This window comes from Homo sapiens, chromosome 2, assembly GCF_000001405.40.
Source record: "Homo sapiens chromosome 2, GRCh38.p14 Primary Assembly".
Taxonomy (NCBI): Eukaryota; Metazoa; Chordata; class Mammalia; order Primates; family Hominidae; genus Homo; species Homo sapiens.
The window spans coordinates 177,902,016-177,929,218 of NC_000002.12; the positions used below are offsets into that span (position 1 = coordinate 177,902,016).

The window sequence follows — 27,203 nt, forward strand, 5'->3', positions numbered from 1 at the left end:
CTAGCTCCAGGATAGGAGAAAAAGAGAAGAAAATCTAGGATAATATCTGTTAGGCCTCTGAGCCCAAGCTAAGCCATGATATCCCCTGTGACTTGCAAGTATACATCCAGATGGTCTGAAGCAACTGAAGATCCACAAAAGAAGTGAAAATAGCCTTAACTGATGACATTCCACCATTGTGATTTGTTCCTGCCCCACCCTAACTGATACGATATATTCTCCCCCGCCCTTAAGAAGGTACTTTGTAATATTCTCCCCCGCCCTTAAGAATGTACTTTGTATGCCTATCCCAAACCTATAAGAAACAATGATAATCCCACCACCCTTTGCTGACTCCTTTTTCAGACTCAGCCTGCCTGCACCCAGGTGAAATAAACAGCCTTGTTGCTCACACAAAGCCTGTTGGTAGACTCTCTTCACACGGATGTGTGTGACAATATCCAATTCAACAGATAATGGAAGTATTTTACACAGTTGAATAGGCCCTGCTTCTTGATGTCACTTGCCTTCCAGGAAATGAGTATCTGCATTTTGTCCCTCCTTCTAGTGACCTTCTTTTGCTCCTGGATGTGTCCTTGGAGCTTTCCATTCTCTTATCTACATATTCTTCCCTAAATTAACCCAGCTAGATTCCTGGCTTTAAATAGCCTTTATATGCTGCTGGTTCCCAAATCTTAATCTCCAGTCCTGACATCTTCCCAGAGCTTTAGACTCCTGTATCCAACTGTTTACTTGCCAGCTGTGCCAGCCAAGAGTCTCTTTCACTCATTTCCCATATCAGCAAGCCCCCACAGATTTCACCACTGATTTTGGAGGAAATCTGTCACTTCTCACTGCCCTAGTCCCAGCCATATTATTTTTTGACTTCAATACAGTTCTTTCCTAAGTCCTCTCACTGCTCCAGCCTTCTCCCTCCCTCCCCAGCCAGTTTATTATCTCCAGGGAGGCCAGAGTGAACTCTATTAAAAGTAAGTCAGACTCAGCTCAAAATCATCTAATGGCTTTCCATTGCACTCAGAATGAAAGCCAAAGCCCTTGCCATGCCCACAGGCTTTTCTACCATCTGGCCTGCCTCCACGTCCTCATTTTATTTTTTTTCCCTTTCACTCTTCCCCTTTCTCTCTGCTCTCTAAACACACTGACCAAGCTTTCTCCTGCCCCAGGTCCTTTGTGTTTGGTATTCCATGGCCAGAAATGCTCTCCGCAGACCTTTATGTGGCTTTGCTCCTTCTTTTCATTCAAGTTTCTGCTTATAGATCATGTCCTTATACAGACCTTTTTGATAACCCTCTAAAATAAACATCCTCCCAACTCAGCCTTCCTCAACCCTTTATCCCTTTATCTCACTTTATTTTTCCTTGCAGTATTTATTGCTACCTATACTATGCAATTTAAAAAAATTGTTTTCTTATCTAATATGTATTGTTCTCATGAATAGTAAGCTCCGTAAGGGTAGGGATTTGGATAGACAGCATGTGAAGGGAACTACATAATCAATACTTGTTGAATGAATAAATTAATTGTGCCATACACAAGAATGCAAAGATTAATCATATATGAAGCTTCACTTAAGGAGTTCAAAATGTAGTTGGAGAGGCGGGCCCTCCTCAAATATCATAATACAGTGTGATAAGTATTCATAATAGAATAGTGGCAGTAGATACAAGGCAAAACCATAAGTGAAGAAGGGAAGATTAATCAGAAAGCTGAGCTGGGTCCTGAAGAATGTGTGAGGCACATGATGTGGTTGGAAGGAGTTGGATTGACATGAGGCATTGAAGGCCGAGGGAGGAATACGGCTAAAGGTATGATCAAATGAAACAGATTGTTTGCTGGAAATTGGGGACTATATTGCTGGAGTTCCAGATGAAAGCAGGAGCACGGTAAGACATGGGGCTAAAGATGAAAAGAAGATCAAAACAGAGAAAAGATGTGGTATGTCATGCTAAAGACCATGGCTATATTAGTCAACTATGTTCATCTGTTTACTGATAAAAATATCCATAAATCATAATAATTAGCAAATGAAATTTTAATCAACTTGATGGCCAGATTAATTAGGGTTTCAAACCTTTTTGAACATCGTTTTGTTAAATATATTTCTAAGTTGTTACAGTAATCTTCCTATATTTAAAATTAGAATGAGTATAATATAATTTAATCTCTATTTGATAATGTAGCATTTTTTGAGTACTAGACTTTGCCTTTTTTGCAACTTAGATCTATAGCTCCTGAAGGTATAAAAGAGCTCTCTAAGTGTTTCTTTATAATACTGTAAAACAGTCTTTGCATTATTGTTCCAAGTATCTAGTGAAGGGCACTTTCAGAAACCCTTTCAATCCAAAAATGGTTTCAATCCAAAAATTGTTTCAATTCAAAAATAAAATCTGGGAAGTGGGGGTAAGATCATGTTTGTAACATAACTTGCTTCTTAAAGGAACTTAGTTGTAAAAGCATCACCAAATTGTGTTATTGCTTCAAAGCCATAAGTAAGCAAGGATATATCTGCTGCCTTATAGTATAGATGTGATATTAATCTCCTTTTTTTTTTTTTTTTTGAGATGGAGTCTAGTCTGTCACCTAGGCTGGAGTGCAGTGGTGCGATCTCCACTCACTGTGACCTCCGCCTCCTGGGTTCAAGCAATTCTCCTGCCTCAGCCTCCCGAGTAGCTGGGACTACAGGCACCACCACCACGCCCGGCTAATTTTTGTATTTTTAGTAGCGACAAGGTTTCACCATGTTGGCCAGGCTGGTCTTGAACTCCTGACCTCAGGTGATTCACTCACCTTGGCCTCCCAAAGTGCTAGGATTACAGGCTTAAGCCATCGTGCCCAGCCAATTTCATTTTTAAAAGAAGCTTGTACCCCTTCCCCCAAATAACAACAGATAATGTGTATCCACTTCCATTTGGGCTTATTGCTTAAAGTGTATCTTCAACCACAGCCTTGCAGAATTATACAAATAAAAAAGATTCCTGTACTATTCAAAGATCATTCATTGGCTGTTTTTAAAAGACATAATGACTTACAGAAACCAGAAAGAGAGTTTTGAGGAGTGTCAACAATGTTTTTATTTACTCACTCTGCTTCTTTCATATTCTTTCCTTGAGGCAGCAAAGAGCTGAGCGTTAGATATGGCGATTCCACAAAATGGAAGATACATCTGCATAACCTGGGACAAAGAGAGTAGTAAGAACATTAAAACATAAGAACATTGATACATCCCTTGTAGACTAAATTGCACACTTCTTCTATATGCCTGATTGTAATACTTTATTTGCATCTATAGAGATTGAATACAGAGAGTTGTTGATACTAGTATTTTAACTTCATTATGAATATTTTTCAAAGTTAACTAAAATATGTTGTAAATCAAGCTTTAACTAGAGAATTCACATCTATGAAGACATAAAGTGAAGCAACAGATTATGAGGGCTGTGACATAGGAACTGTGTCTAAAGCAGCTTGTATTATTTCTTGGATAAAAGAAGGATAAATAAGTAAATGAACTGTGATATACCTGGAATTTAAGGCATGTGCCCATACTCACATTTGGAGGTAGGCAGGATATAAGTCAATTCTTTCGTTGGCATATGGCATATACCATATGTATATGGCATACAATTCACATCTGTAGCAGGGATTTCAGCTTGATTCTAGACCTATCTGCTACCAGTTTTAAACATGCCTGTCAGGATGGGCCCAGTGGGAACTAGGGGTCAGCAGGCCTGGCAGCCTTCTGCGACAGAGTTCTAATTGTGTCTGCCACTGTGTAGACATAACTGGACACAAATCATACTGGTGGGATGCTTCTGCAGAAGCCTGATGAGGAAAGGCTGGGAGCCTGTAATGGAGAAGTCCTCCTATGGGCAGAAACACCCAGCCGTGATGGGCCTACCCCTAACAAAGACTTTCTCATCATGGAGGTTTAGGCATAGGGATTTTTACTACTGCCTTGCACTCTCAAGAAATTCATCTCCAGAATCTCTGATTCCAGAGAGATAGAATGCTCCAAGTAAAAACTGAAAGAACTATTTCCCTAAATTCTTCGCAATGTAGATGAAACAAGTGACATACTTGGGACTTCTCTAAAGCAAGAGGGAAAAAAGCATGTTTATATCATAGACTCTATGTCTCTCTGTCTCTCTCTCACACACACACACACGCACGCACGCACGCACGCACGCACACAATGGTGCCCTAGGAAGAGGTAACAAGCGCTGGCAAAATAGAGCAATTCCTGCTGTAACCAGCAGAGGGCAGTGCAGTGCCCGCTGTGGGTGAGGGACGACAGCAGCCTCCACCAACTCAGGAAGCACTTGTGAAGCACCCAGGACATCCAGAAAAGAATCACCTGGAGTGCAAGGCAATTATGCAGAGGACTTGAGGTACACAAAAGATGAAGGGCAATTCACATTCCCTATCGCTGAATTTCCTATTAAAATCTTTCCTTGGTTACCTGGGCATGATCAACTCTGACCTAGGGTCCTGGAAAGAATTTCAGAGCCATATAAAAACTAAAGCTATGACCTCATTTTTAAAGAAGATAGAGAAACAATGGGATCCGAATTAAGAAGACATACAAAAATCAATGATTTTTGCAGATGTTTTGGGGATAAATTCCTTCCCTGGATTTTCACATGTTGCCTTCTGGAACTAGATGTTATTTCTGTTACCCCCTACTCTCCCCTTTCTTGCTACTCCCCCTCATACCTTAGAAAGTCTGTCCATAAGCCAAGATAAAGCTGTTGGCATAAAGCTGCCAGATATTCCATTAGAATTTCCCTGCCTTTAGGCAGAATGGGACCACTTTCAATATCACCTACACATAGAGCAAGCACTTTCCTTGTAGTTTTCTGGAGGTTTTGTTTTTGGCTCATTGTTTTTTTCTGCCATGGAGACAATGACTATAACGGGGATAAAAGCAAGGAGGAGACTTATTTTAACTTTCCACTACTTATTTGTTTTATTTATTTTTGCCTTCAGGGGACAAATTTAAGGTGGTTGGTAAGTCAAGCAAGTAAGAGGAGAGTGATCAAATGAAGATGTGAAATGTTTTCTAATATATCATAGGCTTGCTTCACTTCATTTGTAATTCCAATATTTACTGAGTTCCAGGTATTATGTTAAATTAAAAAGAATCTGAATTTTAAATCAAATAATCTTTGTTCTTTTTACAGTTTTGCTGTGTGAAGTGCAACAAATCATATAAGCTCTTGAACCTATTTTCTTATCTGTAAATGCCAGGTTTATGGTCTTTTTTAGTTCTAATCTTTGGTGATTCAAATAATGCAAAACATCATTAAGCTGCAATATTCTATTTACTAGAGAAAACAGAATTCAGTAAACATGCTTGCACCTTATTCAAGAAAAAATAATTTATAATAGTAATTGCCATTGGCTAAGCCCTTCTGTCATTGTGTCAGGCATGATGCTATGTGTCAGGGATGATGTTAAGCATTGTATATGCATTACATCTGTTTTATATTCACTTATGTTTTACCATTAATCCCAGTTTGCAGATTAGAAAACTGAGGCTTTAAGAACTTACCCAAAGTTCTTGGGAGATAATTCTCTATGGATATTTTATGTTTCTGTACACGTGGCAGAGAGAGGCACTGGCTGTATCTTTCTGGAATGCTTATACAATGAACAGCCTTGGAAGATAGAGATACTGTCTCCTTTCAGAGCAAAGAACAGAAGTGTTTACTATCCAGTATAATAAAGACAATATCTCCCTCTAGACAGAGGTCAGGCAGGCTCACCGTTCATTATAAAAGATTTGGGTTGCTTACATTTCAGGTTCCTCTGCTGTCATGCAATCTACTATATGTGCTATTACTGGGGTCAGGGAACCAGCAAAAATGCTGATGCTCAAACTATTGCTATTGTTGTGAGTAATAAACTGTTTTTTTGTCACTGATCCAGGAGTCTCATGTCTTCTGTCAGCATCCATGAGACTGTGGCAGACTAACTTGCTAGCCTGCATGTACTGTATAGTAAAATCAGACTCTTTACAAATCTTAACAATGTCACCTAGATAGCAAATGGAGAAGCTTAATTTAGAATCCAAGTGGCCTAACCCTAAGATCTACCTTCTTAACTTCTACATTCTCCAGCTTCCCAAAGTCATACATATCTTTCATACAATTAATATGATAGTCTGGTTAACTGCAATGCAAGATAGATGACTAAGACTAGCACTCCATTATTCCAGTGTATGAGCAGTCACAGGAGACTGCAGAAGCAGGAAGCAGTTCTGGTAGAGCAGGCAAAACCCAGTTTCCGGAGATAACAAGGCAACCATTCTCAGGGGGCAATTTGTCTAGCAGATGGTGTAAGGGAAATCCTAGGTAGAGAGCAGACCACACTGATAGGCATCAGAGTGTGGTTATGAAGGCCAGAGTAGAAAGTTGGGGCAGAAAAGAAACTGAGCCTGTCAGCAGGTAGCAGGGCCCTCGCCTCCAGGTGGAGCTTTAAGGATCAGCTTATACTCTTGGTAGTGAAAGGGAGGGAAATGGCAGAAGAAAGGAAGGGGCCCATCAGGTATGAAATGTGAGGCACTATGTTTTAATGAGACACAGAACTGCTCACAGATAGGGGCTGTGGCAAAGCTGGGCCCACAGGTGAGGGTCCTGTGGTGTGCGTCCAGCTATAGCGTGGAAAATGAATCAGGGACCAGGAACCAGGCTGTGTTCCACACATGGCTAGAGAGGTTCCAGTCTTAGCCCAGTGGGAACACTGCAGTGTCCCCGGAAGCCTAGGAACAGCCCAACATCAAACTGTCAGTCAATCACAAATCTCTTCATCCTCATCCAATCTTGTTTCTGTTAAACCTAGTTTTTAATCTAAAAATTTAGAATTTGCAAATACTTTTTCCAAGTAGTATAAGCTATTCTTCATGAATAGTACAATGTACTATCAAGAAAGCATGCAAATCAGATCGGTATTAGTTCTTTTCATCTACCCCACTGTGTCCGACAAAGCACCCCTCAATTTAGTCCTGACAGATGAATGGTATTTACTTGTCACAACCTCAGGAAAAGCAACACCACAATCTTCCTCCATTTTACACATCTAGCAAATGTCACTTTCATGAAATTTTCTCATACAAATGTAACAAACTCCTTATATCACAATATACTTCCAATTCTTATCCTTTAGTGGAGATGAAAAACAACAAAAACTCTGCCATTTTAAGCCAATTACAAGGCATTTAACATGGCATTTTGAATGGCAAAAGAGACTCCTGCTGTCTTGTTTTGTGTACTCCAATTTTTCAAGTTAATGCTCCTATAACAGCATCCAAACAAAAGCAAATGGCAAAATGAACACCCAACTCACTGTACTGGGAATGCACAGATCAGCTCAATTTAACAAGAGCCGCCCGACTGCCTTCTCCCGTCAGGCCCTGGGTTAATATGCAGCCCGTACACTAAATTGCATGACACCATTACTATTTTCAAGTTTACCACTAGTTTCAGCTACATCCCTGAGAGGATTACTAGCCAGCTCAAATTCCTTCAATATTTTCACAAAAATACAGGCTAAAGTTCAAATTTCAACTCCCTGTTAAGGCCTTCCAAATGTTGGCCCTATTGGACATTACTACTATTGTTATTATTAATGTTTGTTTAGATTTACCCACATGTGTACCAGTTTTTTCCTCCTCATTCCTTCCAACACCTCCTTCCTTCTTTCTGTGATATAGTTTTATTTTTTTTCCAAAGACAATCCTTTAGAGTATCTTTTAGCATTGGTGATAAATGCTTTTAGTTTTGTATGAATATGTTTATTTTATAATCAATCTTAAAAGGTAAGGTAGTTGGGTATGCAATCCTAGGCTTACACTTATTTTCTCTCAGTACTTAAAACATATTATTCCCTTATCAAGTGCAACTGATGCTGCTAAAAAGCCAGCTGCCAATCAAAATCTTGGTAGATTATCTGCCTTTGTCTCCGGTTTCTTTTAGGTCTTCTTTATGTCATTGGTAGCCAATTTGTATTTTGTCAGCCTCAATCAAAGGCTTAATTGAATCATGGTAACCTCCAATGTATATATTGGCCAAACATTACTGTGGATGGAGACAATATTATACCTTCATGACTCATTGCACACTGAGAGAGAATCTTTGTTAATGTAGGAAATGTTCTACCCTGTGTCATTCATTGGCATGACAATTCAGCCCTCTGGGGTCAGACTCAATTGCACAATGTATACGCATATGACAGTATGATCTATGGAGTTTCTAAAGAAATGTGCAGGAGAAGCAGGCAAATACATTTTTGAAAAGAGGCAGTAAGAAAAACTGAAGCAGTGTAGAAATAGAAAATGAAAAACAAAATATTTTAATCTTTTTTTTCAGTCCCAGTGTTACAGATGTCTCTCTCTCTCTGTCTCTCTCTCTCTCTCTATATATATATATATATACACACACACACATATATATATTGCTCTATTCTGCTATTCTGCTCTTTCTGAAGTCCCTCATTTCCAAAAAAACCAACTAATTTGGCCTTCACTATGTAGTTTCAGAATGCCAAAGGTCTAAAAAGCCTTAATGACTAAGAAGCAAATGAGTCTGTACACGCTTGTGCAGCACTTTTCGGCTTGAAAGCACTTTATGAACATTGGCTAATTAATCTTTACAACATCCCACTCAGAAAGAGAGTTAAACTGAAAATCATTAAACAGTGTAAAAAAGTCACTTTAGCCCTGGAAACTCATTAAACTATCACTAATATGCATAGAATTTGAGCACTGGGCCTTCTATCAATGTACACAAAAAAAGACAGTAGGTAGCCAGCCTTTTCAAACTTGCAAGCCACAGAGAAAGGCTATTAAAGCCCCATTGTGTGGTCTGGTCCAATTATACATCATTGAAGAATGCCGGGGGTCTACACTGGAGAATCTTAGTGAAGGGGGCCATCCCGTTCGTGGACCCTACTTGTAGAAGGCAAAACAGCTTGAAGAGCCACATCACTGTCAGCTAAATGAACAGGTGAAAAAAAGGTTTTCCCACCTACAGATAACACCTCCTCCCTTTGTGTAGATTCTGAAAACAGGACTCTTAAAGTCACTTCTGCCCTCAGGCAGTAACTATATGATAAAGCTTCACTGATTTGGAGCCCACTGATTTGGAACTGGGGATGTTTTAAGACAGTTGTGATTCAAATGCTGAATAAACTCTTCAAGTAGAGTAATTTAGAAAATAACATATCAAAATATGAAAGCAGTCACATTATTTTCATACGATGAAATACTTTCAGAGCATTTTTAGGAATATAATATTAAAAATAATTTTTAAATGAGTTTGCAGTTTTCCAGAGATTCCAGAGGAAAGCCCTGCTTCCAGAGGTATAGCTTCATTCACTGCAATTTTGTTTCTACACAAATTCAATAAAGATGAAAGATGGAGCTTTTATTTTAAGAATCAGAATCATAAATGACTTTTGTTAGTTCATACCAAAATATATGACCTTGGCTAAGGCATGCCTTTTTCCACCAGTGTTCCGCCCTTTTCAAAGAAAACAGTCTCCAAAAGATACAAATAAATATAAAACATTGTTTTAAAAATTGTAATGGGGCCAGGCGCGGTGGCTTATGCCTGTAATCCTAGCACTTTGGGAGGCCGAGGCAGGTGGATCACTTAAGGTCAGGAGTTCCAGACTAGCCTGACCAACATGGTGAAACCCCGTCTCTACCAAAAATACAAAAATTAGCTGGCCGTGGTGGTGTGCACCTGTAGTCCCAGCTACTCAGGAGGCTGAGGTAGGAGAATCACTTGAAGCTGGGAGGTAGAGGTTGCACTGAGCTGAGATTGTGCCACTGCACTCCAGCCTGGGTGAAAGAGTGAGACTCCATCTCCAAAAAAAAAAAAAATTGTAATGGAATAGATGATTCAATTACATGTCTTTTGAAATTGTCCACTATGAGAATTGACATTCTGAAGAATAGGGTGGGGGACTTCATTCACAAAAGACAAGGGAGAACAAGAGGGCAAATAAAAAAGAAGGAGAAGCTTTGTTTTTTGGAGACAGAAACAAGGACAAGATAATGGATCAGAGATGTGGGGAGGGAAGCAAGGAAAGCAAACCCAAGGTGGGCTCCTCACTGGTCCAAATTTGGGGCAGAACACATCCTAAAGCGTGAATCTTTACAGGCTCCCCTTCTCCTGTCTAGGCGTCCTCATCACTCTTCTTCCATGTTCCCTTCTTAGGACAGGGAAATTGAGGTGCTTCTACTTCTGTCCCTGAGTATTAAAGCTGGGACCCCAGGGAGGTTGGAATGAGCTCCCTTCCACTACTCTAGCCCCTCTCCTACAAGCTAGTGTTGGCTAAAATATCCCCAGGAGGCTATCCAGGGGCAGAGATGCTGAATTCAGTTCCTGGCAAGTAGCCTAGTAGCATCAACATCTATTCTCTTTGACTTTTTAGAAGCTCTGGTCTACTGAGTGCTTGAATCATGCAGGTACTACTCATATCACTCAATAACCTTATTTCTATTTGGTCCTATGTCCACCCCCACAACTTTAGGGAAATAACCTTCTCATGTCTGGGGGCAGTTTTTAATTCCCACCCTCTTATTTCCAGACCCTCAGGGAAAACCCTGAAGGAATCTATTGCAGGACCCATGTCCTTTCTAAAATAATTTTTTTTTCTGATCATAGATTTCAAGAGAAAAAAAATACCCATATTTCTGCCACTCAAGGGTAACCATTATTAACATTTTGGAATATATTCAAGTTTTCTTCTCTCTTTTTCCTTTCACATAAAGCCAAATAGGCTAATCCTATACATAATATTTTATCAGCTTTTTTCACTTTTTATAACTAGCTATTACCTATTATGACCAGTTTCTATGGATGCAAAATATCCCATTGTATGGTGCAGAAACATAAAATTTATAGAGAAGGAAAGTAGATTAGTGGTTGCCTGGGTTAGCAGCAGTAACAGGATTTGCTGTAAATGGGCATAGGGGATCTTATTGGTAGTGGGTTCTAAAACGGATTTATGGTGATGGTTGTACCTCTCATAATGTTACTAAAAGTCATTGAATTGCTCACTTGAAATGTGTGAATTTTATGATATATAAAATATACCTCAAGAAAGTTTTAAAAATTACCATAAATACTCTGTTCATGGTATGGATTAATGTAGTTTACTTAGTCAATCATAGAACGTTGGACATTTAGGTTGCTTCCAATTTTAGATTAATAATTCTGGGGTTAAACATCCTAGAAATTAAATCTCTCCGAATCCCATTATTATTTTCTTAGAGTAAAGCGTTGATATTGGAACTTACTTTATTCAACACACAACTTATATAGCGCTTTTCTGTACCGGGCAATATTCTAAATGCTTTACTAATATTAATTAATTGAGGGTTGTGTACCCTTTAAAATAATCCTTAACAATATAAACACATTTACTTTTTGCTAAAAGAAAACAGTAGAGAAATGCATAGAGTAAAGTAATGACAGTTCCCCCTTAATTTCCTGTCCCACTACCCACTCCCTTCTCAAGGTACAACCCTGCTAGCATTTGTAGTGTGTTCTTCTGGATGTTTTATGGCTACAGTCACACAATATCTAGTTTTAGGGTTGTTTGTAAACATAAGTGGGATCACACTATGTTATTTTCGATACCTTCTTTTTCACTTGGCAATATATCTTGGAAATCTTTACATGTTAATTCAAAGAGAACTTACTTCATTCATCTTAATGTCTGCAGAATATTCTAGGGGGTGGTTGTATCTGTTACTAGACATTGCCATTGTTTCTAATTTTTCTTTATTACAAATAATGCTGCTGTCAACTTTCTTACAAATAAATCTTCATGCACCTGGACAATACTTCTGTTTGACAGTTTCCTAAAAGTGGAATTTTAAGGTTGAAGAACATATGCTCAAAAAATCTTAATTACTACTGCCAAATCATCCTCCAAAAAGGCTCTACCAATTTATACTCCCACTAACAGTAATCAGAGGATTCATTTACCCCAACTCATACAACACTGGGTATTACCATTCTTTTAAAATCTTGTCTATCCGACAGATAAAATCAGTACTCATTTTTGTATTAACTGACATTTACTTGATTAATAGATTGAACACTTTTCATAATTTGTTGGTTGTCTGTATTTTAAAATATGGCCTCTTTTGCTTATTTTGTTTATTTTTTAGTGGACATTCATCTATTACTTATTGCTCAGTAAGTACCCTTTATGTGCTAAGAATATTAAACATTTTCCATTTTCACAATTCATGAATCTTACTTGATAATCAAACAGTAATTGTCATCTGTTTGATATAATCCATTAGGCCTACAAGCTATGAGCGCTTTGTCTAAGATGAATAATATTATGGCTCCATAAACTTGGCCTACTCTCTCTCACAGTGTGAAGATCTTTTACAAAGATATCTGCCTATATAACTCTGCCAAGGTTATTTTTATAAGCAGGTTGACCTACATATATCATCCTGCCCATTTATTCCATCTGCCTTTGTAACTCACAGCTTCTGCAAAAAGTTGTTTTGAGCTGCTGTTTGATCCAAGCATTCTTGAGTTTTAGTTATTAAGATCATTATGATTCCCCACTTACCCAGCACAGGTATAAATGCAGGAAGCTACACAATAGAGTAACTTAGTCAAGGTGTCAAGGTATCAACACCCTGAAATGCTAGAAAAATCTTATTATATCACAATGAACATACGAACATAAAATTTCCTCTTACACTATTTTCTGATGAGAAATGCCTAAGTTTTTCTTTAAATTTGAAATACATTCACATTATTTCCTCCTATTAGTAGCAGAAGGCTTTTCTTCACTGTCTCGTTTATCAAACTCCTTCCTTTTTATAATTCCTGGTTCATAAAGTACAGGACATTACATAAAGGCAGAATCATATAGCATGTGGCCTTTTGTGTCTGGCTGCTTTCACTTTGCATGCTGTTTTAAGGGTCCATTTATATTGAAGATATATCAGTACTTTATTCCTTTTAAAATTTTGTTTTAAAGAAGTAGATTTTTTTTAGGGCAGTTTTAGGTTTACAGAAAAGTTAAGTGGAAAGTACAAGGATTTCCCATAGACCCTGCCCAACACACAGTTTCCCCTATTATTAACATCTTACATTAGAGTGGTACATTTGTTACAACTGATGAGTCAATACCGACACATTATTAACTAAAGTCTAGTCTACAAAGTCTACAATAGGTTCACTCTTTGTGTCACACATTATTCGGATTTTGACAAATGTACATGTTCACCATTACAGTATCATACAGAATAGTTTATTGCCCTAAAAATTCCCTGTGCTTCACCTGCTAATCCCTCCCTCCTTCTCCCTCAGTCTCTGGCAACCACTGATCTTTTTATTGACTCTGTAGCTTTGCCTTTTCCAGAATGTCACATAGTTGGAACCACGCAGTATATATCCTTTTCAGATTGGCTTCTTTTACTTAGCAATATCCATTTAAGGTACCTCTACATAATTTCATGGCTTAATAGTTCATTTCTTTTTATCACTGATTAACATTCCATTAACTGGATATACCCATGTTTGTTTATCCATTCACCTATTGAAGAGCATCTCAATTGCTCCCAAGATTTGACAATTATGAAAAAAGCTGCTATAAACATTCATGTGCCAGTTTTTGTGTAGACATAATTTTTTGACTCATTTGGATAAATATCCAGGAATGCAATTGCTGGATTGCATGGTAAGCGTATCGTTAGCTTTGCAAGAAACTGCTAAGCTGTCTTCCAAAGTGGCTGTGCCATCTTGCATTCCCACCCTTTCCTATGTCTGGGTTCTCCCTGTCCCTTCAAAGGAGGAGTGTTTCCCTTCATTTGGTATTGCTTCCACCTTCACTGTGTAATCTACATCTGCTTCGCTTCATGTCCTCACTCCCTGTCATTTTGCTTACAGTTTTGCAGTCTTCAGAAATGGCTGGCTTGTGGCCTGTCTATGACATCCCAATTACCCGAACATGAAATACACCTATAATACATTCTTATTTTCTGCAGCCTTTAACACTTGATCACCAGCTAGATATGAAACTTTGGCTTCCATGGACTATACACCCCTATTTAATCTTTTTCTACGTTTCTGACACTCATGTTCAAGTTATATTCCCGGGTTCAGTCTTTGGTCTTCTAACTGTCCCTTTCTACATTCTCCCTCTAAGCATTTATTTATTTCTACAATATAAGAATATTACAAAATAAAGTGGGTTGGCTATGCAGGAATTAACCTTTGAGCAAGAGTCAGAAAAGACAACAAATTCAGTACTGCCATATATTTAAGGCAGCTGAGAAGTCTTCCTCCTTCTGCTCTTGAACTTTGGTCTGTCACGAATTCCCTCTGCCTCTGATTTCACTTTCCTACATCCCTAACCCCACTTCTAATCAGCCACATCTGCTACCTTTCAGACCCACGTTTCAGTCTCTAATCCAGACACAGCTTGAGCTCTGAAAACATTTGCTTCCTCTATCTTATAGTCTAATTTTAGTATTCCTGGTCCTAGACTGAACTGAACTCTGAATTCAACCATAGTGACCGAACAGGCACCAAAGTCCCTTCCTTCTATCTGTGTCTTCTGTAGTTACCTCTGGAACGATTCTCAAAGTGGGCTCTCTAGTGCTGACATTTTCTCTGTGCTCTGGCTTCACATCACCAGGTGCCTAGAGGACATTTCAACTTGAAGGTTCTTTTTATTTTATTTTATTTTATTATTATTTTAATTATTTGTTTATTTATGAGATGGAGTCTTGCTCTGTCGCCAGGGCTGGAGTGCAGTGGCACAATCTCAGCTCACTGCAAGCTCCGCCTCCCGGGTCCACCGCCATTCTCCTGGCTCAGCCTCCCGAGTAGCTGGGACTACAGGTGTCTGCCACCACGCCCGGCTAATTTTTTTTTTTTTTTTTTTTTTGTATTTTTAGTAGAGATGGGGTTTCACCGTATTAGCCAGGATGGTCTTGATCTCCTGACTTCGTGATCCACCCGCCTCAGCCTCCCAAAGTGCTGGGATTACAGGCGTGAGCCACCATGCCCGGCCAACTTGAAGGTTCTTATACTACCACAAACTCAGCATTCTGAAACCAAGTTTATCATCTCAATTCCCCTTGTCCTTCCAAAGAAAGAGGGCTTCCGCCTCCAAAACCACCCTATATGTGCCAAAAAAAAAATTAAAGTTCAAATCACCCAATTCCAAATCCTGGGAGCCATCATTGATTGCTATCCAGATGTAGGCATAAGCAATTCAGGAGCTTTTGAAACTTCTGTTCCCATGGCCTTGATTTCCCCTGCTCCAGCACTGCCATCACTCACCATCTCTGGTAATAGTTCCCAGATCTCTCACCATTGCTGCAACAGTAGCCAAGATCCTTTCATCCTTGCAATGTGACAAGAACCCAGTAACCTTTGTTTCCCATCCAGGAAAGCTATAAATTTAAACACACTGACTATCCATCCCAATGTGCTCCATTGTCTTAACTTTTTAAAATGTAAGGTATAAATATGTCTTACACATATTAAATACTAGTCTTTTTCAAACTACATTTGCGTGAGCATTTTCATACCACATACAGTATTTTTAAAAATCTCATTAGAAGCTCATCAGAAAGTATCTCCAATATTTAAGACTGTGGCTTAGCATTTTACAGACACTGTGGAAGATATGTAATAATCTCAGGAAAAATAATAAGGAAATATAAAATTGCTATTTAGAGAAACACATGAGACCCAGAGGGGATTATTCTACTTATATATCTTTTTTTTAATTTCCAAAATAATTCATCATCCAAATGCAACACTAATGACATGGATAATAAACCATACTATTTTTTAATTTCCAGTAATATTCTCCAGTGGAGTTTAAAACAGAGAAGGCTATGAAAATATGCTTAGAGCATTAATATTTAATTAATGTAATAGTACCCTAAAATGAATATTATAAGTGTAAAAGCCTTGATATAATTCGTAAGTTGTATCTATGCAACTAAAACACAAAAGTGGTACCTAGTAAATTCAGGGCATTCTTAATGGATAGCCTTGAAGACAAAAAGAGCTTTAAAGTTTGGCCTAACAACAAACAAAACTTTGTGAAGGGCCAATCATTTATTAACAAACTGGGGTATCAATCCAAAATAGCAGAGGGGAAACTGTCTACATGAGTCATCAGTAATTCAGCAAGATTTCTCATTTGGTATCCTAGAACAGTCTAACTTACAAACTAAGATGCTAGCTTCAAAGCCAAAATACTTTATTGCCCCTATTCACAGTTTCTACTTTCCACCCATATTCAGTCTATCTGCAACAGAGTCTCAGCCTGTCCTTTATTGCTTCCTTTCTCTTCATGGTTCAGCTATTTATTTTGAGGGCTCAATTACATACAAAGTAAGCAGAAAGAATAAATGATAAGCCTAAAGACAGCAGAAGGAAAGAATTAATTAAAATAAAAGCAGAAAATAGTAAATGAGAAAACAACCATTAGAATTGATAAATAAATCCAGAAATAGCTCATGTAGGGAAAAGCAATAAGGCAAATAAATCACTAGCTAGTTTAATCATAGGGGAAAAACCCCGAAAATATACTAAAACAGAAGTGATCAAGGAAATAGAGTCACAGCTACAGAAGAAAATGAAAAGAACTATAATAGACATTTTTTGCCATAATCTCAAACTTAAATATTTGCAAATCTGATGTAAACTTGTATATTTTAAGCAAAATATAAATTAACAAAACTGAATCAAGTTCTTCAAGAAGACCTGAGAATTTCTGAGTAAAATAGTCACCACAGAAATAATAAAGAAACTTGTAAAAGACTCATTCTCAGAAAAGGGGCTAGTCCAAATGGCTTCATAGGCAAATTCTTTCAAATCTTCAAGAACAAGAAAATTCCTATGCTATTCAAACAATTCCAGAATCCAGAGAAGGAGACTCTCAAATATTTTTTGAAGACACATTATTTATTACTGATAGCACATCATGATAAAAATAATGCAAAAATCAAACCTACAGAATAGATCCCTTATGAAAACAGATAAGAAACATTCTAAATAAAAATATTAGAAGATTTAACATTTTTTTTTTTTTGAGACAGAGTCTCGCTTTGTTGCCCAGGCTGGAGTGCAGTGGCATGATCATGGCTCACTGCAACCTCCGCCTCCCGGGTTCAAGCGATTCTTCTGCCTCAGCCTCTTGAGTAGCTGGGACTATAGGCGCGCACCACCATGCCTGGCTAATTTTTTGTATTTTTAACAGAGGTGGGGTTTCACCATATTGACCAGGCTGGTCTTGAATTTTTGACCTCGTGATCCGCCCACCTCGGCCTCCCAAAGTGTTGGGATTACATATGTGAGCCACTGCGCCTGGCCAGAAGATTTGATATCTATACATACCTGTATATTAGAAAGTTGAATTTAGCCAAATATTGAAAAATGGAACATGACTAAGAATTTATATTTAGAATAAACTGATTGTTCAATGTTTCAAGATCAATTATTCCAAACTTTCATATTAACTTTTAAAGCAAAAAAATGATCATCTTAATATTCTAAGAGGTCATTTGATAAAATCCAATACCCAATGGCTATAAAATTTTTAATAAGTTATAATGGGTATTAAAGATTTTTTAATGGAAAAACGTGCCATATTTCTCAATAAAAAGATATTGAATCAATATTAAAAAGATATCAATTACCTGTCCAAATTAATCTATAAATTTTATTCTAGTGAAACTTAGAATGATATTTTTGGAATTTAAAAAAAAAGGTAATTCTAAAATTCAAATGAAGTGAAAAATGTTTAACAATAGTCAATATTAAATGAAACGAGAAATAAGAGGAACCAATTGTAAGGTTATGATGACCAAAACAGAATAGTACTAAGGACAGAATAATCATGCAACTTAAAGGAACAGAAGTCCAGAACAAAATACATAAAATAAGCTCATATGTAAGAAAAGGATGGTTTCATCAATAAATCGTGTTGGGACATAGTTCATCATTTGGAAAAAAGCCTAAAAATTAGAAAATCCTTTTTGAAAAAGCCCAGGGAAATTAAAGATAGAATAAAAATATATAACTATAAAAGCCATAGGGGAAATATGGTAAACATTTACATAGTTCTTCATTGTGAAAGGCCTTTCCAACCATACCCTATATGTGGAAATTATATGAGAGACTTCACACTCATTTAAAATTGAAAACATCTATATCTCAATATGTAAAATAAATTAAAAAGCAAAACACACTGGGAAAATTATTTGCAATGTTTATGATAATTATGAACCTCTAAGTAGGAAAAAATCAGAAAAAAAAATACCTCAAAAATGGTCAAAAGATATAAACAGGAAGTTTGCCAAAAAGAAACACAAATAGCTAAAAGAAGAACAAAAAGTGTTCAGGACACTAATTATCAAAGAAATATAAATTAAAATAACAATGAGCTATCAGATTTCTCCTACTATATTGACAAATATTATCATTAAAATTAATACCCAGGGCCAATAATAATATGGGAAAACAAGCATTCTCATATAATTATTGAGGGAGATTCATTGGTGCAACAATTCTGAAGAACAGTTTTGCAAAATATATAAAATGCCTTTAAAAAGTACAGGCCCTTTGTCTTTACAATTCTATTCTTAGAAATTTATTTATTATTTATTATCACCATTAGTACTATTTATTATACTTAAAAATAGTGAAGATGGTAAATTATATAAGTATATTTTGCTTCAATTAAAAAATTGTTTTGGGCCAGGCGCGGTCGCTCATGCCTGTAATCCCAGAACTTTGGGAGGCCAAGACAGGCGAAGCACGAGGTCAGGAGATCCAGACCATCCTGGCTAACACAGTGAAACCCTGTCTCTACTAAAAATACAAAAAATTAGCCGGGCGTGGTGGTGGGCGCCTGTAGTCCCAGCTACTTGGGAGGCTGAGGCAGGAGAATGGTGTGAACCCGGGAGGCAGAGCTTGCAGTGAGCCAAGATCGTGCCACTGCACTCCAGCCTGGGCGACAGAGCGAGACTCCATCTCAAAAAAAAAAAAAAATTGTTTCAAAAATAACTTTTTTTTTTTTTTTAGTATTAGGAAAGAAATCATAATGTACAAGGTTTTTTTTAAATTGACAATATCCCAAACATCGCAAGATCCAGAAACGTAGCATATTTGTATTAATTTTTCCAAATTTTTGACAGCATGCTTTTTTATTGCCTCTGCATGTAACTATAAATTTTAATATTATTTTCCTATAGATATACAGAAAATAATTCCATTTTCATTAGCATATTGATACAAATGAGCTTTATATTATTTATGATGGGATGCATAATACATACAACTTTACCCAGAGACACATTTCCTATTTGCACTACTAGTACTGGTTTGTGTCCTACAAATGCAGGAATTCCAATAAATAATATTTTGCATAATTCTCATCTAAAAGCAAAAAAAAAAAAAGAAAAAAAACATGTTTATCATGGCATATGCTGCATTTTTGAGTATGCTCCTGATAGGAGAGCATAAAACTTCTATTTGAATAGGCATCTATGAAAAACCACATTTTACGAGTCTGATTGGAAGATTTTTTTTCCATAGACTAGTTTCTGACTTCGTACATTTCAAACCTTGTTTCTCCTTCACTATACATATTCTTCCAGACCCACATACTATAGACCACCTTCATATCAAAATGCAACCACTGACCTTGTATATCTGCATCAAGATGTTGAGTGAACTGGGATGGTGAGCAAAAGAATATTCAGAAAAGCCGTTCCTACAGCATAAAGCTAGCAACAACTTTCCACAAAAGGGATTGGGAACCATAAAAATTATCCTACTAAACTCAAAAGTATCTACAGCTGGACTTCTTCCCTAGCTACATCCCAAGAATGTCTGTGGCCTGATGAATGGGGAAATCTGACAGACAGGAAGCTGGAAGGGAAAAAGAATTATCTCAAATGAATATCATTAAAATATCTTACTTTTGTTAACTTTACAAAACTTTCCTCCTTCTCACGTTCCTTTGCAGAATGACTTTTTTCCCATCTGACTTACTTTTTAGCATTCCTCGAGGCTTGATTCTGAGACTTCCTATCTCACTCTCCTCTCTTTCTAAAAAATCTTATCTACAACACTGGATTAAATTGACCTCTGCATGCATGACTCTCAAGTTTATATTTCTAACCCAGGTTACCCCCTTGAGCCCAAGATCTGTGTGTATCCAACAGCTTACTCAATATTTTCACTTAGATGTCTCAAAAGCACCTCAAATACTTTATGTCCAAGACAGAACTCATAATTAAACACCCTCTTGACGAGTTAATGGGTGCAGCACACCAACATGGCACATGTATACATATGTAACAAACCTGCACATTGTGTACAGGTACCCTAAAACTTAAAGTATAATAATAATAAAATTAAAAAAAGAATATATAACAACAACAAAAAATAATAATAATAATTAAACACCCTCAACCACTTATTTCTCTTCCAAGAGGAGTATATCTTAGTGAAGGCACCATCTTGCCACAAAGGGCTGAACCCAAAAACCTGGAGCCATGTCCCATACCTGACATCACTGAGTCCGGCTAATTTTACCTGTTAGTTATGTCTCAACATTGTCTGCTTCCTTTAATCATCACTTCCCACTCCCTCACCCCCACTCCAATCCAAGCTACCTTTCTGGCTGTTCCATGGCTTCCTATTGCTTACAGGGCCTACACTCAAAGCCCTTCATAATCTATTCCCAACACACAGTGGACTTTTCTTGACTCATCTTCCAGCACTCTTCTCCCTCTACATTTCTTGTATTCCAGTCACAATAGATTATCCATGCCCATGTACAACTAAGTTGTATACCTCTGTCTTTGTTCATCATAATTCCCTCATTCTAGAACCTTCTTGCCTACTTTGTGCATCTGTCAGACTCTACTTATTTTACAAGGACCAGTTCAAATATCTCAATAAAATCTTTCTGGACTTTTCGATTTGCTCTACCATTGTCTCTCTGCATTCTCCTCATTCCACCAAAGAAATGGCACTTTATATGCTTTTATAGCTCTAATGCTTTTATAGCTCTTTGTACATACCTCTAATGCAGTACTTTTATATTAAATATTTTTAATTTATTAATTTATTATTTATTTTCATTTAATTTTTTTAAAAAATACAGGGTCTTGCTCTGCTGCCAAGGCTGGAGTGCAGTGGCACAGTCACAGTTCATGGCAGACTTGAGGTGAGAGGATCACTTGAGCCTAGGAGTTTCAGGTTGCAATGGGCTATGATTGTGCCACTGCACTTTAGCCTGGATGAAAGAGCGAGGCTCTGTCTCTCCCCCAGCAAAAAAAAAAAGGAGAAAGAAAAGAAAAGAAAGTAAGTACAGGGGTAGGGCTAGCTTCAGTAAGTGATGAATAAGACCTTGAATGAGGTCATTAAAATTCTGACCCATCCTCCTTTTATCTCAGCTGTCCCTCACTCTCATTGACCTAAATTGGGTCACGTGGTCATTGTTGACCCAATCTCTGAGGCCAAAGAAAACCAATCCTCTAGTAGACTTAGCCAGAACTTAGCCATATGCCCATGATTGAGCTTTGAGTAGAGCTTTGGGCTAAGAGGTGGGGACAAGATAGTTCTCCAGAGGAAAATCAAATCCTCCTATCAAGATGCTGAATGTCCAAGATAATAAATGTACACAAATATAAAGTTATTTGAGAAAGTTATAATTAACCTTCATTTCAGGCAGAATTCTCAGTGTTACCTCACTTATTTAGATTTCATAAAATTTGAAATCTACTTCTAAAAATATTCCGGAATTCTTAAGAATGTTAGGCTGATGTTTCTGAACATCCAGCGCAATACCTAGCACAGAGTGGTGGCTCAAGCAATATGTGTTAAATAAATAAAAGAATCAATTAATAAATAACACAGTCTGTAAGAGGTCTAAGATAATGTATAAAAATGTCATATATAAAGACATATATTCACCAGGTCAAGAAACCCAGATATCTGCTTTACTCTAAAGTGTAATTTATTATTTAATGAGTAAGCAAGTCGGACACAGCTTGTGTTGGCTTAAAGAAACATCTGTAGATTTTCGCCACCTCCTTTTTTATTTTTCCTTTAAAAGAAATAGTTCAGAATATGAGCCATGGCTTTAAATTCTTGTCTTCACTTACTCAAATAAATGTAATATGATCACATATGAACCCAAATTGTACTTTGGATTTATATTGATATATTATAGCATCCATGGCCATGATCAAATCAGAGCCTGACCTAAGCTGACACTACAGAAATGCTGACTACCAAGTAGAGTTTTGCCTGAGCCAAAAGCAATGATGCCTGTTTGTATTGGTCTTAAAGGGCAGAAATTTTCCTTACGAATATCTCTGGCAGACTAACTCTTGCAAGTTAGTTTGATTCCATGACTTCTCTAACACTTATTCATGGCCACGAGAGCTAGAGAAGGCCATCACTCAAGGAATTTATAAGATCCAGTGTCAAATCATGAAGAGAAAGTGAACTCCTTGATATCAGAGTCAATATTTTATTTATTTTTCTCTCCTTCTAAAACAGGGCACAATCTCTGGTACAATGCTTCTCAAGAAATAATTCTTGAGTTGACATACACACATACACACAAATATATATCTTTATGGCTTTATATGTTGATTCACATTCTGCCGGCTGTTAAGCTTTCTTTTTTTTTTTTTATTATACTTTAAGTTTTAGGGTACATGTGCACATTGTGCAGGTTAGTTACATATGTATACATGTGCCATGCTGGTGTGCTGCACCCACTAACTCGTCATCTAGCATTAGGTATATCTCCCAATGCTATCCCTCCCCCCTCCCCCTACCCCACCACAGTCCCCAGAGTGTGATATTCCCCTTCCTGTGTCCATGTGATCTCATTGTTCAATTCCCACCTGTGAGTGAGAATATGCGGTGTTTGGTTTTTTGTTCTTGCGATAGTTTACTGAGAATGATGATTTCCAATTTCATCCATGTCCCTACAAAGGACATGAACTCATCATTTTTTATGGCTGCATAGTATTCCATGGTGCATATGTGCCACATTTTCTTAATCCAGTCTATCATTGTTGGACATTTGGGTTGGTTCCAAGTCTTTGCTATTGTGAATAATGCTGCAATAAACATACGTGTGCATGTGTCTTTATAGCACCATGATTTATAGTCCTTTGGGTATATACCCAGTAATGGGAAGGCTGGGTCAAATGTTATTTCTAGTTCTAGATCCCTGAGGAATCTCCACACTGACTTCCACAATGGTTGAACTAGTTTACAGTCCCACCAACAGTGTAAAAGTGTTCCTATTTCTCCACATCCTCTCCAGCACCTGTTGTTTCCTGACTTTTTAATGATTGCCATTCTAACTGGTGTGAGATGGTATCTCATTGTGGTTTTGATTTGCATTTCTCTGATGGCCAGTGATGATGAGCATTTTTTCATGTGTTTTTGGCTGCATAAATGTCTTCTTTTGAGAAGTGTCTGTTCATGTCCTTCGCCCACTTTTTCATGGGGTTGTTTGTTTTTTTCTTGTAAATTTGTTTGAGTTCATTGTAGATTCTGGATATTAGCCCTTAGGCACAATCACTTACCAAAGGAAAACGTGGGGCAGATCTTCCCATACACACAGCTACCAAGAAGCTTACAAGGCAGGCGTGGGTTGGGGTAGATAAAGGATCAACTTTTACATTATGCAGTCTTTTCTTGTATACAATCTTCCCTATTCTTTGAAGAAGAAAACCTTGAAAAACTAAACTGTGTTCTTTTAGGTCAACATGGAAGATCAAATAAAAAAATGAAATCTTTTTTCTTCAGGACACTCGCTGGAGTTTTCAGGGGAACCTGAGTGTTGCAGAGGGGGAGAATCAGGACAAGGCTAGCCAACTTTTCTCTGCAAGTGCTACCAGCCTGGGTTCTGTCACAGTCACCCAAATCTCCTTCCTCCATTTGAAGAAAAATAGGAAAGCAGCAAAAATTCTCTCTAAATATATATCAACTTAGCAAGATAATAAAGATAGTAGAAACCAAAACAAATAAACAATTCCTGTCATTGGAAGCATTATTTGTGTAAATTCCACATTAGACTCAGCACTAATCTTATTTTGCCAACATCTCATAGATAGCCATTCTCAATATATGCTTTAAGCTAATTTCAGAAGTATTTTTTCATTGTCTAGGAAAAAAAAGATTCTTGATTTATCATCTGTACTTCTACTAAATTTTTTTAAAGTTAAAAAGGAATTTATGTTTTCCTTCTTGATTTCATGATACTTTAGGGAAAGTTTATAGCAAAATACTAGCTTCAGATGTTCTTATCTGTATACTCTTACTGTCTCAGAAACAAATTCTATGTCTAAAAGAATCAGCTTAAGGCACTGGTTCACTGATACATAACTCAGTATCTCCTCAATCTTTATGTTATAATTCAGTAGATAGAACTCAAATAAGCAAGTAAGAAATTAAGGCACTGAGGGCGAACAGCTCTAGGGAGTAAAATATGAAGCACACAAATAAGAGATACAGCAAGTTTCAGATTTTAAGGTTTGAAAGGTTTGAAGAAAGGATTGCTTCTCAGATATGTTCCAAAGAGGAGTTGATAATTTCATAGTATTTCATAGCTATTTATTGATTTTGCTTAAGTCCAAAATGTGGTACAGATAATATTTTATTTATTATTATCTACATTTCCTGGTTTTTTTTCCTTCTACTCAGTCTCCCACTATTCAGATATTTTGGGGCCTATGTACTTAAAATCCTGGCTCATTCTGAGGACCCGAAGGCCTGGATCATTCTGGTAATTTTTTTACTCCACATCTGCAAATCCTAATCAATGATTACCTGCACCATGAGAAAAATCTCTTCACTGGTCTTTCTGCCTCCAGTGTCTCCCTGCTGAGATCTCCTCTTCTCTCTGCCACCATTTACTCCCCAGATCTGATCATGTAGTCTCTGCTTAAATGTCCCCAGCAACTCCCTACTGCCTTCAGGTCAGGGCATTCCTGGACCTTCACAATCTGACTCCAACATATATTCCACTCTCATTTTCTCTTGGCCTTCGCACAAGTGACCCTGACCCACACCTATGAAGTGAAATATAAAACCAAACAATAGCTCTCTTCCTTTCAATCATTAATTTTTAAAAATCAATTATTGCCATGACAGCTAGTCAAACTTTTCAGGTCAACCTTTGCATTTGAAATATATTCTCTTTCTTGGTTATTTAGCATTAAATTTCAAAAAATTTGCCTTAATGTAAACCTGCCACTTGTCGTACTTATGTCAAATTAGCAAATACTTCCTAAATGTCCAATATCCAATATGAATATCCAGCACCGATTTTGTTCTATGGAAATGTGAAGAGGAAAGACATTCATTTCTTAACTGTTGAGATTATAAGAGAACAAAACTCTCATTACACTCCAGGATACCAGACTGTTGGTTCACATTGTCAAAGGTGAAACTCTTCCATTAGGTGCCTGGTAATGAAAGAGTTAAGAGTAAAGTGTTTAACACAGGAGTTCCAGAAAAACACATTTTCCATAAACCTTTGCTGACAATATATCAAATCATTGGTAAAATGGGACAATAAAATAACTGTTTTAGTAACCCAATCTTTGCATTAGTTTGTCTACCTTTGAGAAAGAAATACTAACATTAACTGCTTTCATAAAGCAAAAGAGTATCTCAAATCTCTGACTTATTATTTAAAATACAATAATGCCAAGTTCATCATATATTATTACAGTGGATTTTAAAAGAACATAGTCCGGATACGGTGGCTCATGCCTGTAATCCCAGCACTTTGGGAGGCCGAGATGGGCAGATCACCTGAGGTTGGGACTTCGAGATCAGCCTGACCAACATGGAGAAACCCCGTCTCTACTAAAAATACAAAATTAGCCAGATGTGGTGGTGCATGCCTGTAATCCCAGCTACTCGGGAGGCTGAGGCAAGAGAATCGCTTGAACCTGGGAAGTGGAGGTTGTGGTGAGCCGAGATCGCGCCATTGCACTCCAGCCTGGGCAACAAGAGCGAAACTCCATCTCAAAAAAAAAAAAAAAAAAAAAAGCCATGAGATAGAGGAAACATCAATTGGTAAATCTCATCTAATGAATACTCACAAAGCTTTATGACAATCACTTGACAGAATGTAAAGATTTTACTTATGTGATTCTAAGAATAAACTGTACACTTTGGTAGGCTGAAGTAGGAGGATCACTTGAAGCCAGGAGTTTGAGAACAGCCTGGGCCACAAAGTGAGACCCCATCTCTATAAAAAAAATTAAAGAATTAGTCAGGCATGGTGGTGCACACCTGTAGTCTCAGCTATTCAGGAGTCTGAAGCAGGTGGACCACTTGAGCCCAGGTGTTCAAAGCTGCAGTGAACTATGGTCTTGCCACTGCCTTCTAGCCTGGGTAGCAGATGGTGACCTTGTCTCTAAATACGAGAAAGAGAGACAGAGAGAGAGAGAACTGTAGAAAACTAATATAAGTGCAGTATCTCCAGTTCCTATATAAGTTCTGATTCTGACTGAAACTGAAGAATTAACTTTGTTTAAAATAACAGAATAGCCAGGCACAATGGCTCATGCCTATAATCTCAGCACTTTGGAAAGCTGAGGCAGGAGGACTGCTTAAAAAAATTCTTTTTTTAATTATCTGGGGGTGGTGGCACATGCCTGTGGTCCCAGCTACTTGGAAGCCTGAGGTGGGAGGATCGCTTGGGTGTGGGAGGTCAAGGTTGCAGTCAGCCATGATTGTGCCACTGCACTGTAGCCTGGGTTACAGAGAAAGACCCTGTCTCAAAAAAAAATAAATACATAAAAATAACAGAATAGTCTATACATAATCTTGAAGTTAGGTTTTCAATATTTATGTTCCTTAAAGTGAAGGTGTTTGAGAACCTTGAAAAAGTAAACTGTGCTCTTTTAGGTCGACATGGGGGGATGATTAAAAAAAATGAAATCTTTTTTCTTCAAAAGACTTGCTGGAGTTTGCAGGGGAACTTGAGTGTTGCACAGGCGAAAAATCCAGACAAGCCTAGCCAACTTTTCTCTGCAAGTGCTCCCAGCCTGGGTTCTCTCACAGTCATCCAAATCTCCTAATCTCCTCCCTCCATTTCGGATGGCTCTTCCCTCCTTCCCACAACAGCAGTGTGCA

General features: G+C 37.6%; 1 protein-coding gene across 3 annotated transcripts in view, besides 1 other annotated feature; it reads right to left on the minus strand.

Moving 5' to 3' along the window:
• The window catches only part of PDE11A (phosphodiesterase 11A), a 485,096-nt gene that overhangs the window by 278,772 nt on the left and 179,121 nt on the right, over positions 1 to 27,203 (minus strand). For 2 of the 3 annotated variants that reach the window (NM_001077197.2, NM_016953.4), the window contains one exon: positions 3,083 to 3,172. In NM_001077197.2, the coding sequence (NP_001070665.1) occupies positions 3,083 to 3,172 (90 nt within the window). Of the gene's footprint in view, positions 1 to 3,082; positions 3,173 to 20,692; positions 20,823 to 27,203 lie in introns of those variants that run through there. The other variant, NM_001077358.2, reaches the window with a different exon arrangement.
• Positions 4,107 to 4,401: an enhancer, noted in NCBI's record as "tiled region #7527; HepG2 Activating DNase unmatched - State 4:PromP, and K562 Activating DNase unmatched - State 12:CtcfO". NCBI's record gives its function as "activates a minimal TATA promoter and a strong SV40 promoter by Sharpr-MPRA in HepG2 and K562 cells {active_cell/tissue: HepG2 | K562}" and the evidence as "EXISTENCE:reporter gene assay evidence [ECO:0000049][PMID:27701403]".